General features: G+C 40.1%; 1 protein-coding gene and 1 long non-coding RNA gene across 10 annotated transcripts in view, besides 1 other annotated feature; one reads left to right on the forward strand and one right to left on the reverse strand.

Annotated features, from left to right (window-relative positions):
* Window positions 5,716–6,678: an enhancer, noted in NCBI's record as "H3K27ac-H3K4me1 hESC enhancer chr5:128794950-128795912 (GRCh37/hg19 assembly coordinates)". NCBI's record gives its function as "activates a minimal SCP1, AML or CMV promoter by ChIP-STARR-seq in primed H9 embryonic stem cells {active_cell/tissue: H9 hESC(primed)}" and the evidence as "EXISTENCE:reporter gene assay evidence [ECO:0000049][PMID:30033119]".
* ADAMTS19-AS1 (ADAMTS19 antisense RNA 1) lies at window positions 6,018–7,148 on the reverse strand. The gene is made up of 2 exons (NR_125748.1): window positions 6,884–7,148; window positions 6,018–6,538 (listed from the first exon to the last, which is right to left on the reverse strand). It is a non-coding gene; the product is annotated as an ADAMTS19 antisense RNA 1 (long non-coding RNA).
* ADAMTS19 (ADAM metallopeptidase with thrombospondin type 1 motif 19) overlaps window positions 6,757–18,546 on the forward strand; it is a 278,386-nt gene continuing 266,596 nt past the window's right edge. For 5 of the 9 annotated variants that reach the window (XR_007058587.1, XM_011543246.3, XM_047416880.1 and 2 more), the window contains exon 1: window positions 6,757–6,941. Coding sequence is in view for 8 of the 9 variants with exons in the window: in XM_011543246.3 (XP_011541548.1) it covers window positions 6,927–6,941 (15 nt within the window). In the remaining variant the exon portion in view is untranslated. Of the gene's footprint in view, window positions 6,942–7,560; window positions 8,217–18,546 lie in introns of all 9 variants that reach the window. The other 4 variants (XM_047416876.1, XM_047416878.1, XM_047416877.1 and 1 more) reach the window with 1 other exon arrangement.

The following is an 18,546-nucleotide window of genomic DNA, read 5'->3' on the forward strand; positions in this document are numbered from 1 at the left end:
GCCACCATGTCTGGCTAATTTTTTATATTTTTAGTAGAGACGTGGTTTCACCATGTTGGCCAGGCTGGTCTTGAACTCCTGACCTCAGGTGATCCACCCATCTTGGCCTCTCAAATTGCTGGGATTACAGGGATGAGTCATGGCACCCAGCAGAGGATACATTTTGAGAAATGCATCATTAGGTAATTTAATTGCTGTTTAAACATCATAGAGTGTTCTTATACAAACCTACATGATGTATTCTATGACACACTTAGGCTGTATGGTATAGCCTATATCTCCTTTGCTATAAACCTGTACAGCATATTACTATACTAAACGCTGTAGGCAATTGTAAAATAATCCTAAGTATTTGTTTATCTAAACATACCTACAGAGAAAGGTGAATTAAAAATATGATATAATATTATGGGACCACTGTCATATATGTGTTCTGCTGTTGACTAAAATATGCTTATATGAGGTACATGACTGTATATGTCTTCTTGTTTGCATAAGTTTTGAGGAGAAGTTTGCTGTCATTCTTAACTTTGTTTCTATAGATAATCTGTCTTTTTCCTCTGGCTGCTTTTCACATTTTCTATTTCCTTTCTGTTTTTAGCAATTTGCTTAAGATATGCCTTGGCAAAGTTTTATTAAGTATGTTATGCTTGCATGTATACATTATAGTTTTCATCAAATTTGGAAAATTTTCAGCCATTATTTTTTCAAATAGTTTCTCTTCCCATTTCCATTTCTCCTCTTCTTCTAAAACTCCAAGTACTTATATATTAGATATCTCGTTATTATCCCACAGTTCACCAACACTCAAGTCAACTCTTATCTTTTTCTTTCTGTGCTTCACTTTGGATAGTTAGTTTCTTTTGCTATGTCTTCAAGTTCACAGATACTTTTTTTGGCAGTATCTAATCTGCTGTCAATACCACCCAGTACATTTTTCATGTAAAATATTGTATTTTCCATCTCTATAATTTCAAATTGGGTCTTTTTATGTCACTCTTGATCAGGTTCATGCTTTCCTCTATCTTCATATACATTTACAGCATATCTGTAATAGCTGTTTAATGTTTTTGTTGGCTTATTTTATTACTTCTGTCATGTCTGGATCTGTTTTTACTAAGTGACTTTTCTCCTTGTTATGAGTCATTTTTTTCCCATGCTTGGAATTTATAATTGGATTTCCAGAGAATGAAAACTTTACATTGTTGTTGTTGTTGTTTTAAAATATTATTATTCCTAGCCAAGTGCGGTGTCGCATGCCTGTACCCTAGCCCTTTGGGAGGCTGAGACAGGTGGATTGCTTGAGTCCAGGAGTTTGAGACCGACCTGGGCAACATGGCAAAACTCCATCTCTACCAAAAATACAAAAATTAATCAGGCATGGTGGTGTATGCCTGTAGTCCCAGCTACTCAGGATGCTGAGGTGAAGGGACTGCTTAAGCCCAGGAGGTCAAGATTGCAGTGAGCCATGATTGAGCCACTGCACTCCAGCCTGGGCAATGAAGTGAGACCCTGTCTAAATGAAAAAGTATATATCTATATATATAATAATAATTATTAAGTAAAATGGACCTTGTTCTAGCAGGAAATTAAATTACTAGGAAACAGATGAACCATTTTGCAGCTATCTTTTAAGCCTTGTTGAGATAGGCCCACATGAAACCTTAATTACAAGGCTAATTTAATTTTATTACTAAGCAGATGCTTTTCTAAGAACATTATCTAGTACCCCTTGTATTATGATGACCTTCCACTCTAGCCAGTTGGAACTCATCACATTTGGAGTATTCTTTGGCCTTTAACGCTTTATGCCTCCCCGTCCCACCACTCACCCTATGCTGTAGGTGGTTTCTTCACATACATGTAGAAATCAGAACATAGACAATTAATTCAAAGTTCTTCCAGAAAACATCCAGAATTCTCCCTTCCTCTCTTTGTCATAGCGAATATTAGAGACATCTCAATTGGTTCAATTTACATTATCCTGACCAAACAAATTAAAATTGATCAAACTTTCCACCTGATGGCTGCCAAAACCATTGCACCCAGCTCAGCTACAAACAATAGCAGGGCTTTCAATGGAAATTTTAAATCAGTGGTACCAAAACACTGAAGCATTTCTTTGATGAATTGCAAAAGGAAATGGAATGTGGCTTCCCCAGTAAAATCCTGAAGACAAAGCACAATCAAAGCAATGGCTACCAAGAGGGGGAAGTGGTCCATTCAAAGCAAAAGCAGACCAATTAAGAGCAAAGGTCATGGCAACAGTTTTTGAGATGCTCAAGGAATTTTGCTTGTTGACTTTCTGGAGGGCCAAAGAATAATAACATCTGCTTATTATAAGGGTACTTTGAGAAAGCTAGCTAAAGCTTTAGCAGAAAATCTCTGGGAAAGCTTCACCAGAGTCCTTCTCCAAATGACAATGCTCCTGCTCAGTCCTCTCATCAAACAAGGGCAATTTTGTGAGAGTTTTGATGAGAAATCATTAGGTATCCACCTTACAAGTCCTGATTTGGCTTCTTCTGACTTTATTTTCTAACCTTAATCTTCAAAAGGCATTCAATTTCCTTCAGTTAATAATGTAAAAAAGACTGCATTGACATGGGTAAATACCCCACAGCTTTCAGTTCTTCAGGGATGGGGTAAGAGGCTAGTATCATGGCTTACAAAAGTGTCTTGAACTTGATGGAGCTTATGTTGAGAAATAAAGTTTATATTTTTTTTATTTTTGCCTTTTACTTCCATTTTCCACATACTTTTTGAAGTTCTCTAGTAATTTATGGTCAAGGCAGACAATGATGGTTTTAAAAATATGTCCACAAATTCTTTGATATTTCCCCATTTGAATGTTGGCTGGACTTAGTGACTTGTTTTTTATGATGAGAATATGATAGAAGTGGTGGTATGTCACTTTCAAGATTAGGTTTAAAAAGACCATGGCTATATTTTGGGTGCTCTCTCTCTCAGATCACTTGTTCTGGGGGAATGCATGTAATGAGCAGCCCCTATGGGAAAACCTGTGTAGCAAGATGCTGAGCTTCCTGTCAATAACCAAGTGAGTTTGAAAGCAGAACCTCTTCTTCCAGTTAAGTCTGCTGAAATTATAGCTCTGGCCAAGAGTTTGACTGCAAACTTGAGAGACAGCCTTAATCAGAAATACCTGGGCTTATCCAGGCTTCGATTCCTGACTCTCAGAAACTATGTCAGATGATAAATTGTTTGTTGTTTTAAACTGCTAAGGTTGTTATGTAGCAATAGATAACTGATTCACTCTCTGTGTAGTTCCCTCCTTTCTGATACTCTGCCCTATAAATTCTAGCCTCCTTCTCTGCCTCCTCAACTCAGCTTGTCTTCAGGGCTCTGTTTGGCTTTCTTCTCTCTGTGTTAAGTCCTGAAACTGCCTCCAGGTTGTAAGCTGGGGAAATTGTAGTGATCAATTCATTTACTTCTCTTCTCTCCTAAGTCATAACCCTAGGCTGCCTGTTGTCCAATGTCTAAAAACTTTTATTATGTTTTCTAATTTCCTAAGGTGAGAGTTAACTATGGTCCCTGTAATTCCATTATGGCCAGAACTAGCTTAGGACTTGATGTCAATTTAGATGTGAGTTCTACTGGGAGTTGGTATCTTCATGGAACTCAGTGAAAGGGTTCTTTGTATTTTCTCAAGATTTTAAGAATTTGGTTGGGGGAGGGCGGGTGGATTTAAGATTAGCTTAGGTTAATTTTAACCTAGGGTAAGATTAGGTTGTGAGGGGCTTAGTACCAGTGAGTGAAGAGAATAAGGGAGATTTGACAGCATCAAGGCCAACTTTCTATATGGAGAAGCCTGGATTATAAATGGCAATATCAGCACCAAAACAGTTGATTCCACTTACTCTGATGCTTTGTCATTTACCTCTTCTCCTTCTGTCCTTATTCTGAGAACACAAAAGCAGTGCTCTATTGGTGCTAGCTACCATCTGGTGACATATATAGTGATCTGTCTTACCAACATATTTTTCCCAGCTGCTCTTTTCTTTCCTCTAAGGTTGGTAATGCACACACATGCCTCAGTCCTGCCTTTTCTTCTCTATTTCACCACACACAGTTTACTCAATTCCAAATTAGGCTAGTTCTTTCTTTTATATACATAGGTACTTGAATTCACTTTAACGGACGCTCTCACTTGCATATCTAAGTCTCTCCTAGAGCACAAAAATTCCCCACACATTTCTCTCTTAGGCCTGTTCCTTCTGTAAACCAGATAAGTCATGTTGATAGTTGCTAATCACCAGCAGAGTTAGTGTTGCAACTCCTGATCAAGGAATTCAAATTGGAACAAAATACCATAGACAAATCAATTTCTATCACTTTCTAAAGCACCTTGGAGAGAATTTCCTGATAATTTCTGAACCTATTCAGTGTAAATCCTTGAATTAGTCAGGGTGATATATAAAAGAAATCATTCCTACCTTTCAAAAACATTGATAGTCTAGTAGGAGAAATAAGTACATAAGTCATTAAAACCCAAATGACTTATAAATGTCTCTAAAATATGTAAATAAATTATAACAGTATTTCAAAAGGGAAAAAAGAGAAGAGTTATCTGGGAATTAGACAAATCTTTCCATAACAATATTAACCTTTACCATGAAGGATTGGTAAAGATTATATATTAGTGGGAAAAAAAGGCAGCAATGCAAACTTACATTGGTAAGCTGTGCTTCTGAGTATATTTAACTTAGTTATACAACTCATTTGGTTTTAAAAAATCATGAATGTACTCTAATAAATATATACAATTTAATATGCATTATTCCTTCAGTTCTGCTTTTTGTTGTTGTTGTTAAAATATGTGTGAGAAACGTGTTAAGACTCATCTCCTACTGGAGGTGTTTCATTGAAATTAGCTTTCAATCTAAATAGCTTGCTATACTCAAAAAATAAACTGCCTCTGATTTTTTGCCTAGCTTTAAATCTGTAAAATTGAGTCTCATGAAAAAAAGCATTTAGGTTTCTAAGTAACCCAGATATTTCTTGAGCATCTGGAAACCCACATGTTAGTTACTCCAGCATTAGAGATTTTATAAGACAGCGTTTAGAGGCAGATCACTCTTGACAAAGTCACCTTGAGTGTTTTTGCCTTTGTTTCTAAACTCTGGACAACTCAAAGAAAGTATTATAGGACTCAGCTAATTCAAACAATGGCTTTCCTTTGAAATAAGATCGTCTGCTTCCCTTAAAGGCATAGTAGTCACCTTTGACACAAGGAACAGAAGGTAAAATAACAAAGGAAGTGGTGAACCAACCTCAGTTCTGGAATTAAAAAAAAAAAAAACTGATTTGCATTAATTATCATTTCTAGGTGTCTGGCCTAGTCCAGAGGATGCAAATGGCAGTTCAGATCAATCATCCTTAAATCGGATGTGAACGCTTTGATGTGGCTGAGGGAGAGTTGTGGAAAGGGGAGTAGGTACCATGAAGAGAATTGCAACAAAGGAAAAAAAAATATATGGGGTTGAATTGCCCCAAAGAGGACAGAAACAGCAAAAACATATTTTTTTATGTACAAGTAAAAAGTACAGAAGACAAAATAATCTCACCTGGTCTGAGATCTTTAGAATATAATGTTTAATGTTGATTCCCTTACTCTTACTCCTTTTAGGACTCGTGTGTGTGTGTGTGTGTGTGTGTGTGTGTGTGTGTGTGTAATGGGGTGGGGTAGGGGAAGGAGAGAAACTGATAGTACTGATGAATGGGGAGCTAGAAAGACAAGGAAGGAAAAGAGGCTCTGAAACCTAAGGGTGCCTACTGTCCTGGGAAACTTTAAAGCATATTCCATGACGAATTACATTATCTCCGGGCTTAGAAAATTCCGAAAAAGATGGGAAGACAAATCAAAGGCCTTTGATAAATGAGGCCTCAGTTTTGTGGTCAAGTCTGCACTAATTTTTGCCTTGTGTGATGTGCGAATTTGACAAAAAGAGGCGCTGGATTGAGGAGTGGGATGGGAAGGGGGAGGCACCTCTACCTGCACACGGGGGCAGGGGATGGATGCAAATCAGGCCTTCCCGAGTGGCCAATCAATAGTCAGGTGAGGGATTTTGGGTCCCCACCCCATCCCAACCGGCGTTTGAGCACGTGCACGGTGTTCTGGGACCTTTGTCCCGCAAAGTCACGCTTGGCGGGCACCCCTTGGTCCCTTTTTCTGGTCAGATGTGCTTGATTCTTTTCTGCTCTACAACCCACCTCTCTAGTCGTGTCTTCCCATCTCCCTACTCATTCCCTCCCGCGCCGCTGCGGGTGAGAGCCTTCAGCGGTGCGTCCTAAGGAGCGTGAGGAGTGTGCGGAGCTTGGCACACCAAGTTGCTGAGACTGTGACACCAGCCTCCGCCCGTTCCGCGCGGGTGCAGGCGGCGAGCCTCGGCTCGGACACCACAGCTCTCCTGCCCGCGCCGGGCAGTCCTCTGCCTGTCCAGAGGCAGCACTCCCGGCTCTCGGCTGGCTGTGGGTCTGTCTTGTGGGGCTCCAGCACTAGCCTGCTCGGCCTCGGAAACTCCTGCAGCGTCCAGAACACAGAAAATAGACTCATCTCCTAATTCGCCAGGGAGCTCGAGGGCTGCGGGGCCGCGGGGCTGCCTCCCCCGCTCCTCCCCCAACCCGACCCCACCCCACCCCCGCCAGGGCTTCGGCGGCCTCCCGGAGTCACACAGCCTACCCCCCCACCCCAACACCCCCTCCCCCGGCAGACAAAGGGCCTGGGCAAATTCGCCGCCCGGCCTCCTAGCGCTCCGGGGAGGCCGCTGCGCCCCGGAGTGGATCGCGCTGGAGGCGTGCGCCGGGCGAGAAGCCGCGGCCGCGGGAGCGCAGTATGGGGAAGAACCGCGAGATGCGCCTGACTCACATCTGCTGCTGCTGCCTCCTTTACCAGCTGGGGTTCCTGTCGAATGGGATCGTTTCAGGTAAGTTCTTCCGTGACTTTCTCGCTTCCTTTCCAGCCATCCCAGCGGAGACCGCGAACGTACGGGTCGGCAGGGCTGGTGCAACCGGTGCGTGGAGAGCAGGGCTCAGTGGGTAGCAATAAAAATGAGCTTGAGGTGCAGGTTAAGGGGTCAAGTTCGGAAATGAAGCACACTTCTGCCGGCCTCGTTTTAACCGTATGTGGAATAGTTTCCTTCTAATTAGAGCAATAATATTTGCAAAGGTACGTTTACAGCACCTGGAGGAAAATTAGAACGTACCTAAGTTGATAGCAACGCTCTGCTCTAGCATACACTTCAGAAATCGTTTACTCGTGCTGGAGTCTTTGCATCGGTTTTCTTTTCAACAATGAAGTGCGGTCACCAAACTTTGATTCCCCCTCCCCCGCCCCTAATATAATCGTACTTTTACTCTGAAAATGCTGGGGTCTGTAATCTGATCGCAAGGCTTCTGGGGTTGCAGAGTTTCAGGGTCTAGACGGGTGGTCTCCATTGCATTCAACGCGAGCGCCCTGTATCTATGGACTGTGAGCTTGGAAATGTTTGTGCTACTGGAACCGCGGCACTTTAAGCCCCGCACTTCTGTCTGCCCCGCCCGCAGAGCTGCAGTTCGCCCCCGACCGCGAGGAGTGGGAAGTCGTGTTTCCTGCGCTCTGGCGCCGGGAGCCGGTGGACCCGGCTGGCGGCAGCGGGGGCAGCGCGGACCCGGGCTGGGTGCGCGGCGTTGGGGGCGGCGGAAGCGCCCGGGCGCAGGCTGCCGGCAGCTCACGCGAGGTGCGCTCTGTGGCTCCGGTGCCTTTGGAGGAGCCCGTGGAGGGCCGATCAGAGTCCCGGCTCCGGCCCCCGCCGCCGTCGGAGGGTGAGGAGGACGAGGAGCTCGAGTCGCAGGAGCTGCCGCGGGGATCCAGCGGGGCTGCCGCCTTGTCCCCGGGCGCCCCGGCCTCGTGGCAGCCGCCGCCTCCCCCGCAGCCGCCCCCGTCCCCGCCCCCGGCCCAGCATGCCGAGCCGGATGGCGACGAAGTGTTGCTGCGGATCCCGGCCTTCTCTCGGGACCTGTACCTGCTGCTCCGGAGAGACGGCCGCTTCCTGGCGCCGCGCTTCGCAGTGGAACAGCGGCCAAATCCCGGCCCCGGCCCCACGGGGGCAGCATCCGCCCCGCAACCTCCCGCGCCACCAGACGCAGGCTGCTTCTACACCGGAGCTGTGCTGCGGCACCCTGGCTCGCTGGCTTCTTTCAGCACCTGTGGAGGTGGCCTGGTAAGCGCCTTCTTTCCCTAGCTCTCCATTTTCCCCTGCTGCTCCTCTCCTTGCCCATAGGTCAGGATGATTTGCATGCACCTTCTCCCCTTTCAGTGTGCTCCTTTTGAGCTTGGCCCTAGACTGCACCCCCAGGTGTCTACATCGTTTGCCTCCCATGGAACATCTCCAGGGCAGTTGTGTAAATCGGAAGTTTAATTGGGTGGATAAATGGCCTTCTCCTTCCAGATGGTTATGTGTCTTTCAAAACTGCGTGAAACTCTGCCTTTTCGTAACTTCTTCCCAATGGCTCAACTTCTTTCTGTTCTCCAGAGTTTTCCAAACTAAGCGCTCCACGTGATGTCTTTTAGGAACTCGAAAGACAACCAGTCGGCTCACTGATGAATCTCCTTCGTGTTTGCGCCGCACTCTCAGTTCCTCATCTGTTATCTTAGAGCTTTTTCATAACCTACTTCAAAGTTGAAAGAACAGTTCTATAGGGGATTACTCTGACAGTTGTCTAGAATTTAAACACATCCAGAGTCATACTGGACACCTGTTCACTGTTCTTGTGAAAGGAGTTGGGAGGGACTCAACTGAGAGACTGGAGGTTGAGTAACGGGTGACATTAGAATCCGATCTGTGTTCAAAGGGTTATGGTTCTGTGATTTACATTTCATTTGACAGTAGTTCCTTTTCTTCTTTCCACTTTTTGGAGGAAAGGAGCAAGGTGGAGAGCCTTGTTAAAAGGCCTGTTGGGATGGAAAGTAAAAGCCATTTGCTCTGTCAATGTAGAACATCATTTGATTTTTCTCCCTCTGTCACGATTCAGGGGTTGGGACAAGCTTCTATAAGTTGACCTTTGTGTGTGTGTGTGTGTGGGGGGGTCAAATATGCATAACATAAAATTTACTATTTTAACTGTTTCTAGATGTACAGGTACGTGGCATTAAGTACATTCACGTTGTTGTGCAACACCACCATGTCCTTTATGGTTGTTGCCACCACCATAGGCTTTACTATTAATTGGTTTAAGACAAAACTCATAAAATATCAAAAATGCACTTGTGATTTGTGGCTTCATTTTGCTGTTCATAGTGAGCCACTGAGAAATCCACAAGAACTTGCATGGAAGCAAACTGCTCATTTGGAGAAAATCCAACAGCAGTGGATAGCAGAAAATATCAGCACAATCAAAGCCACCCAAAACTACCACCTCCCCTGACCCAAGATCCCATAGTCAAATGATGTAAACTGTTGGACAGTACTCATAATGATGAATATTCAAATACGGGCATTTTTAGGCATAATTGAAAAAAATTGGCATGGAAAAATTACATGAGAAGCTTTTATTAAAAGGTTTTATGTGGAACTGATGTTTGAACATTTCACTGGGGAAAACATTTTGTGGAGATTTCATTGTCCACTAGCTTTTGGCTGGGGATTAAATAATCACATATAGAAAGTTCCTGGTGTGGTAGTAGCAATGGGGGATAAAGAATTTCACTGTGTTGAAATGTGCACTTTTGGTCAGATTTTCCAAATGACCTATTCCTTCTCTCCATACTTAAGGAAGCAAAGTTAGAATTATAAGTAGGTTTTTTGTATGTAACAAACCTGCAGGTTGTGCACGTGTACCCTAGAACTTAAAGTATTTATAAAAAAAGAATTATAAGTAGGTTTTTCATAGACTGAATAGGAGTTTGACATACATCCCTGTTTATCATGTTGGACTTTTACTCACTGTTCCTATTAGCTACATATGTATATGTTCTAAACTGGGAAGTCTTTGTTATTGAGGAAAACTGCCATTGCCAGTGTTAGGAGTTAGATTTTCAGTAAAAAAGTTAAGCAAATAGCCAAGAAGGGTGGGTTTGTTACTCTAGACTCTAACATGCCAGCCCTGTTCCCTTATGAGCTGGTGGATAAGGAAAGAGTGAGCTGTTATCTGTACTCTGGAAGAGGTTTGTTCCCTGATGATTGACAAGCTCCTTATCTCTTTAGGCTTCAGTTTCCATAAGTAAAATTAGAGAATTAGATGATTTAATTTAAAAAATTGAATGATGGGATTAAAATTCTATTGGATATTTAATGTATTATAGGTCCCTTGTTTAGGGGATAGAATGTTCTGCCTTTTAGGGGCTCACAAGTTAAGAGAAAGATATCACCTGTAAGTGGAAATGACACAAGTAGTCACAAGACAGTGACAGACCAGCATGATGAATCAAATGTTATGCTAAGGTAAAAATCCCTTGGGAGAGGTGGGGAATGCTTCCCAAAGCAGAAGAAGTTGAACTGGATTTTAAAACATGGAGAGGATTTCACCAGGCAGAAAAAAAAGCTGGAGTGTTGTAGGTAGAGGGAGGAGACTGAGTGCAGGCATGAAAATGCAGGACCTGTCAAGGGAATGATAAAGAATGTCTCCTATGACTAGGCCAGAAGATGCAATAGAGAGAAATGATCTTAAAATGTCTAGAGATCAAACTTCAAAAGCCTTGTCTGCAAGAATATGGGCTTTTTCTAACTGAATAGTCATAGAACTTCTTACCTCTTCCTTTATATCTCAAGAATTCTGTGATCCTGTAATTCTAATGTGAGGAATTATGATGCCTTTATATAGAGATGGTGAATCATTTATAAATGCAATGGCCATGAGTTTGCAACAATTATTTTCTTCTCAGGGAAAGCTTTCTTATTGTCAGTTGCAGAGAAGAGGGTAGTTCACTAACTGTACCTTCCCTTACCCTCTCTTGATAGTAAGCTTTGCCTACTGGTACCTGAACTTTTCAATATCTTTTGGATTATTAAATATTTAAAAGGATCCAAAAGTCTGTACCAAAGGAAATAGAACATCAGCTATCCAGTAAAGTGAACATTTATAAGATTGACCATTTCACTCTCCAGGTACTACTCTAACTTGTGTTATCAAAGGATAAGTGCCAGAATGGAGATTTTGGATACAGGGGCAAAGCCTGCCTCTTCAAAGTTTTTAATCTTTCTGGATCTCATATCTGGATCTCTCTCTATATAAAATGTACAAATTGTACTTATATATCTAGCAATTGATCTGTGAAGTGTTATTATTTTTGTTTGTTCTGATTAGTGTATTATTGAATAACAGTCTTATTTGAGTCATATATTAGATCTTATAAGCATGCAAATATACTACCACTAATCAATTAAACATTTATTGAACAACTCTTATGACTAAGGCCTTTTCCAGATATAGAGAATACAAAAAGAAGATGAAGCAGTCTCGATATATTTCACAGGGCCCTCAACCTAACTTGCCAGTTACCAATGAAAACAGGGAAATACAATAGGTTGAGATACGTGAAAATACACTTATACCATGAGTGATCTGATGACACTGTCTTGTTCATCTCTTTTCATTTCCAACACTTTACTTTTTAGTTGGCACTCAATAAAAATCACTGAATAATAAAATACAACACATGAAGTACTTTATGCTACTTTAAAATCATCTTTAAAAATTAAAACACACAAAAGCAATAAATTAAATCCCATGAAACTGTGCAACAATTATCTTTGCTCAAAGTTAACACAATGTTTTTTTTTTTTTTTTTCTAAAAACATGCTTATAAGCGCTGGGCCAAAATAAGCTATATTAGTATATACCTGGCCTATTTTTTTTTTAATGGACTATTGACATGGCAGACTACTTAGATTATTTTTTCCAGATGATGAAGTGTAGATACTAAAACTAATGCCACCTTTTCCTACTTAAATTAAGAGTTTTATACAGTAGTCTTTTTGATTAGCTTTTGATACAGAATCTGGAGCCTTTTGTAAATTCAATTATTTTTTATCTTATTTGCATTAAAGTATTGTATTCTGTGGAAAGTTTTAAACAATTAAATATTTTTGTGACTCCCATTTAGACAAGGCAGTATATCAGTTAGCAGTGTGAAAGCTGCTGTCAGGGCAGGAATGGGTAAAGAGAAATAAACACATAACGAGGAGAACCAGTGGAATCAGTCAACATCCAAATGAAAAAATTAAGATTACAGACTGACCTCATATGTCTACTTTCTTCATTCAAGCAAAATCTTAGGAATGATAGAAAAGATATTCTAAATAAATATAAAGCAGTATTAGAAGAGAATGTCATCAGGACATCAGATATTTCAAATATCTCCTGAAAGATTGAAACAGTTTGGCTTGGATTAAGGGAAACATATAGACTTTAGAAAACATCTGTGACTTGCAGGAGCCATGCCAGAAGTGCCGCTGTACATGCAGGGAAAGGCAATGCAGTGAGCAGAAACGTACCTAGAACAAGAGCAGGATTTCTTTTTTCTGTTATCCCATTCTGCCAAGCACCGGAAGCCACATATGTGTCGCTAACACAGGAACAGAGAATAGAGGCAGAGCTTACCCAGGCCTGTGGGTGACACCCAGGAAATAGTCTCTACTCTCAAAAGATGAGCTGTTGGCTTCTTGCACTGAGTCAAAGGTCCCATCTGTCTCTAACTCAAGGAGAGCTGAGTAAACTGAACTAGTTACAACAGATAGGTGAGCAGGGAAACCAAGAAAAGATGAGCTGACACCCAGGAATATTACATTTTGAAGAAAATAATATTAAGAGTCTCAAACTCTTGTTAATTAATACAAGAAGCAAAAAATTAATAAATAGAATAACAGAAATCTAATGCCCAGAAGAAAAAGAGCAGGTATATATTCATGGAAAAAATAAATTAAAAAAATAGGAACAAACTGCTATCCATAAAAAAAAGGTTAGATACAATGGAACTGAAATTATATTTTTGTTAGAATAAAAACTCAATAGATGAGTTGATAGGTAAATTTGTGATATGGAAGATCAAACCCAGAAATTATCCCAGAACACAATACAAGGGCCAAATGAATATAAAATAATAATAATAAAATAGTTGTAAGCCATTGATTAATAGGTCTAGATCAAATATTTCTCTAATAGGAATGCATTTAAAAAATCAGTATAAAGACTGAATTGTAAAAATACATGCCGTTATACGCTACCTATCAGTTACACTTTGGATGTGAGGCCAGATATTACTTCTTTGAGGGTAGAGGGTAGATGAGATAAGTGGTGTTCTGGATGATCCTTGCTCAGCATACACCAAAAGCAATTTTCAACACAGGTTTCCATATTTGGAATTAAAAATAAAGACATGGAAAGCAGTTTATGTGTAGAATGCTTGATTTTAAAAATTGTTATTCTTTATAATTGTTTCATTTCAAAATTATAGCAAAATTTTTAAACAACTTTCTTATTTTTCCAAAGTGTTCACAGAAACAAAAACGTATTTTGCACTCAGATTTAATTATTTAATATTTAAATATTGATTAAATTATACAATTACAGAATGTTGTACCTACCTGTGTTCAGACAAATATGGCTGACTCTTGTCACAGGCTGACTGGTGGAAATGGTTGTATGCTGTAAGACAAAGGAAGCGTCTGCTAGCTATGAGCATTCAGCATGCTGTATGCCTCAGTGACATATTTTCCAGATGGTGTGTGGCGTATTAAGTCAGCGATTCTAGTTGATTTTGTTGATATAACCAAGATTAGTTAGGGAGAGGTTAAGAGACCAGTGGTTCTAATTGAATTGGTTGATATAACCAAGGTTAGTTAGATAGAGGTTAAGAGACCCCTTTTTCAGCGTCAGAAACAAATTTATCAGAAATAAGACACAAACCTTCAGATTGAAGGACCAACCACAAAACTCAGCATGGCATAAGAGGGACCCAAATCTAGATATACATTCACAGAATATTAGAAAATCAAAGAGAAAGAGAAAATCGTATGCATTTAATAGAGGAGAGATGATCTACAGTGGGATGTGTGTCAGATTGACTTTAGAGGATTGAATCAGTAATACTGGGTGCCAGAGGATCAGGTAACTTCAGGATTCTGAGGAAGAGTCATTTAAAATCCTGGATTATATGGTCACACAAAACACCATTCAAATCTGAGGCCAAAGTAAAATCATTTGCAAAATTATAAGGACTCAGGTGTTACCACACAGAATCTCCAAAAAGGTATGCAATGAAAAATCTTCCTCAAATACCTATTCCCCGGTTAGTACTTAGTTTTCCATCCTAGAGGTAACCAGGGTTATCTGCTTATAGTGTCTGATCTGGAGGTAGTTTATGCATAGACAAATATATATACATGTATACACTTACAGCTTTTTAAAAACCCATACTATTTACACACACACACGTGGTATTACCACAATTGAGTGTGTAAAGAGATTCCCCTTTTTTTACGTCCTCTTATATCTGATTGCAAGGATCTTTTGTAATCTACCTAATGAGTTTGGTGTTCCTGGATATTTGATTGAATACAATATTTTCCTATTAAGAACAAGGCTAAATATATAGGATTCTGTAGAAAAGCTGTTTTGCCTCTAATGTATATCTATGTTAAAGGGCATGAGTATTGGTAATTCGGAGAGAGATTGCTTAATTGTACCCCATAGAGATGGTGCTACTTTACAGTCTCAGACCAGGAGAGTAGGAGAGTTTCTCTTTCCCATGTCCTGTTACCAGTATGGACGTTATTATTAAAATTTTTGACCTTTGTGAAATCTAATAGATAAAAGATGTTATTATTATTATTATTTTTGAGACGGAGTCTCACTCTTTTGCCAGGCTGGAATGCAGTGGCACGATGTCGGCTCACTGCAGCTTCTGCCTCCCGGGTTCAAGCAATTCTCCTGCCTCAGCCTCCTAAGTAGCTGGGACTACAGGCGCGCACCACCACGCCCAGCTAATTTTTGTATTTTTAGTAGAGACGGGGTTTCACCGTGTTGCCCAGGATTTTCTCGATCTCTTGACCTCATGATCCGCCCACCTTGGCCTCCCAAAGTGCTGGGATTGCAGGCGTGAGCCACTGTGCCTGGCCAAAGATTGATGTTATCTTAATATAGTTGTAATTTACATTTTTTGTTGTTATGGTGAGGTTGAGTGTCTTTATATTTTTTATTCTCATTTCCTTTCCTGTAGACTTTCCATTCATATCTTTTACTTATTATTATTATTATTTTAATGATGGATTCTTGTTCTGTCGGCCAGGCCAGAGTGCAGTGGGGCAATCTTGGCTCACTGCAACCTCCGTCTCCTGGGTTCCTGCCATTCTCCTGCCTCAGCCTCCGAAGTAGCTGAAATTACAGGTGCCTGCCACCACACCCAGCTAATTTTTGTGTTTTTAGTAGAGGTGGGGTTTTGCCATGTTGGCCAGGCTGGTCTCAAACTCCTGACATCAGGTGATCTGCCCACCTCAGATTCCTAAAGTGCTGGGATTACAGGTGTGAGTCACCACACCAGGCCATCTTTTACTTATTTTTCTATTATATATTTTTATTTCTAATTCCAAAGTTCTTTATATATTAGTATTTTAAAAAGACAAATGTTAATTACAAAATAATATATTCTAAGTATAGGACATTTAGAAAATATATAAAATAAATAATCTGTAATTTTACCATCCAGAGATAGACAACTAACTTTTTAGTATTTATGCTGAAAAGGACATAAACATATAAAATAAACCTCAATTTTCAGAAGATTTGTTGGTAAGCTAGAAAAAGCAAATTTTCTCAAACATCTTTTTTGGTTTATAAGATTGGCACAAATTATGCAGATTGAGACTATCTAGTGGACATAATTGGGGAACATTTAATCTTACACCTTGTAGGAGAGTAAATTTGTAGAGTCAATATATACTTTTGTGTAGTATCTATTAGAACATTAAATATGCTTACCCTTCTTTTTAGCAATTCTGCTTATAGTTGTCAATTTTAGAGAAATATCTATATATGTGCAAAAGGTTTATGTATAAACCTATTCATTGCAGAACTTAGAACTCTCTAGATATTCAGCAGTAATGGACTAGTTGTATCTATATATTATGCTGAAGGCCAGGAGAATGAAAAGATAAAAGAAACAGTTCTTTGCTTCAAGGTGTTTACAGTTTTGAAGGAACCATTTTCTTTGTCTCAACTTTTTATCCTTTTAGAGTTCATCACAGTTATTCGATTTAGTAAGTACTCAATCTCTCCTTATTAATAAAATAACTGGTTTTTAAGTGTACCTACCTTTATGGCATTCTGTGGATTTCCAGTTTAGCATTAGAGTGGCATGGATAATATAGTTACATGTGAGAGAAGTTTCTGGATTATGAGAGGGGCAATATGTAGATACATCAGTCTTCATTAAAGGAAGCTACATAGTGAATAAACAGAATTGTGATGCTGATCGAATAAGCTACATCGTACATTAAAAATAAACTATTTAATCATATATTAACCTATGTCTTCATTCTCAGAGATTTGAGACATGGGCCAATTTTGTGAGAAGAAATTTTCTTTATTTAATAATGAATAAATAATTGTATGCATTTATTTGAAGTTTGTTAACTGAATCATATAGTATTCTTTTAAATAACAAAATTCTTTATAAGAGCCTGAAAATATGTTTATGCAACACTAAAACAGAGCACATATTTATTGAGTTCATGCACAATTGAATGTTTCCACTTATTTGCAATTACATTTTTAACCCAGAGGGTTTTATGTCTTTGTATTTGCAAAATGAAGAAGAATCAGAGGAGTTGCAGGTTCCTGGTAGGTGGGATATGTTTTGGAGCAGTGGGAGAACCAGTAGTCCCCCTTGAATTATGATTTGGAGGTTTCCTGAAAGGAAGTTTTAAGATTCTCTTAGCAAAGTGAGAACCATAATTTGATGCAGAGTGCATTTAGGGTGCAGCTATAGTGAACACATCCATCTCATCATTATTCTGATGCCAAGCCCTAGACTGAGAGAAGTGAGAAAATGGGAGCTTAGCCATTCCAGTGCTACACAGATATTTTTATAGAATTATTACATGGTGGTGTTGGGAAGTACCTTAGGGATTAGATAGTTTAGTGCCTGCCTTTTCCAGAGAGAGAAACTTGACTTCATCTCATAATTAATGTGCCTATATCTGCAATAAATTATTAACTCTTTAGACTCTAACTCAGATGATCAGGGAATGGTGCTGGTGAGCCCAGGCCAGTTTGGGCATTACCAAATGCTTCTGCTTTTCTATTGTTTTCCGTTTAAAATAAATGAAATCTAAATATGTTTTTTTTTCCTTGAGCACATTCAAAGGATAAACATAAGGATATTTTGCCCTCAACTCTTTTTGTAGTCTACTAGCCTCAGCCTGGCTTTACTTAAAATAAGACCACTTCTGCAGTGAGGCTACATCATCAGCCATTTGACCATGCTCCTTGATGTCCTGTTTCTTCAAGTGTGGTGTGTAGATATCAGGATCAAAATCAGGCGGTGGGATGTATGGGGGCGGGGGTGGTGGGGGGTGGTTTGGTGAGGTAGAGGTAGTTGGTAGAGGAAGTCTCTATTAAAAATAAGGCTTCCAGACTGAATGACAAACCTAAAATATGAAGTTAAAAAGAATCTAAGATAAAAATAAGCCTGGGGTGGTGGCACATACCTGCAGCTCCAGCTACTCAGGAGGTTAAGGTGGGAGGATCACCTGAAGCCAGGAGTTAGAGGCTGCAGTGAGCTGTGATTGCACCACTGCACTACAGCCTGGGTGACAGAGTGAGACCCTGTCTCAAAAGAATGAAAGAAAGACAGAGAAAGAGAGGGATAGGGAGGGAAGGAGGTAGGGAGGAAAAGAAAGGAAGGAAAGAAAGAAAAAGAAGGAAGGAAGGAAGGAAGGAAGGAAGGAAGGAAAGCAGGCAGGCAGGCAAGACTCTGTCTCTAAATAAATGAATAAATAAATAAAAAGAATACAAGGTACTTTTTTTTTAAACTTTCAAGTTCAGGGGTACATGTGCAGGTTTGTTAAGTAGGTGAACTTGTGTGATGGGGATTTGTTTTACAAATTATTTCATCACCCAGATATTAAACCTAGTACCCATTAGTTATTTTTTCTTATCCTTTCCCTCCTCCCACCCTCCACCCTCTAGTAGGCCCCAGAGTCTGTAGTTCCTCTCTATGTGTCCATGTGTTCTCATCATTTAGCTCCCACTTAAAAGTGAGAACATGTGGTTTTTGATTTTCTGTTCCTATGTTACTTTGCTAAGGATCATGGCCTCCAGCCCCATCCAGGTTGCTGCAAAGGACATGATATCATTCTTTTAGGGCTGCACAGTGTTCTATAGTGTGTATGTACCACATTTTCTTTATTCAGTCTACCATTGATGGAAAGTTAGGTTGATTCCATGCATTTGCTATTATGTATAGTGCTGCAATGAACTCACACACGTGTGTGTCTTTATAATAGAACAATTTGTATTGCTTTGGGTATATACCCAGTAATGGGCTTGGTGGGT

This window comes from Homo sapiens, chromosome 5 (assembly GCF_000001405.40).
Source record: "Homo sapiens chromosome 5, GRCh38.p14 Primary Assembly".
Classification (NCBI taxonomy): domain Eukaryota; kingdom Metazoa; phylum Chordata; class Mammalia; order Primates; family Hominidae; genus Homo; species Homo sapiens.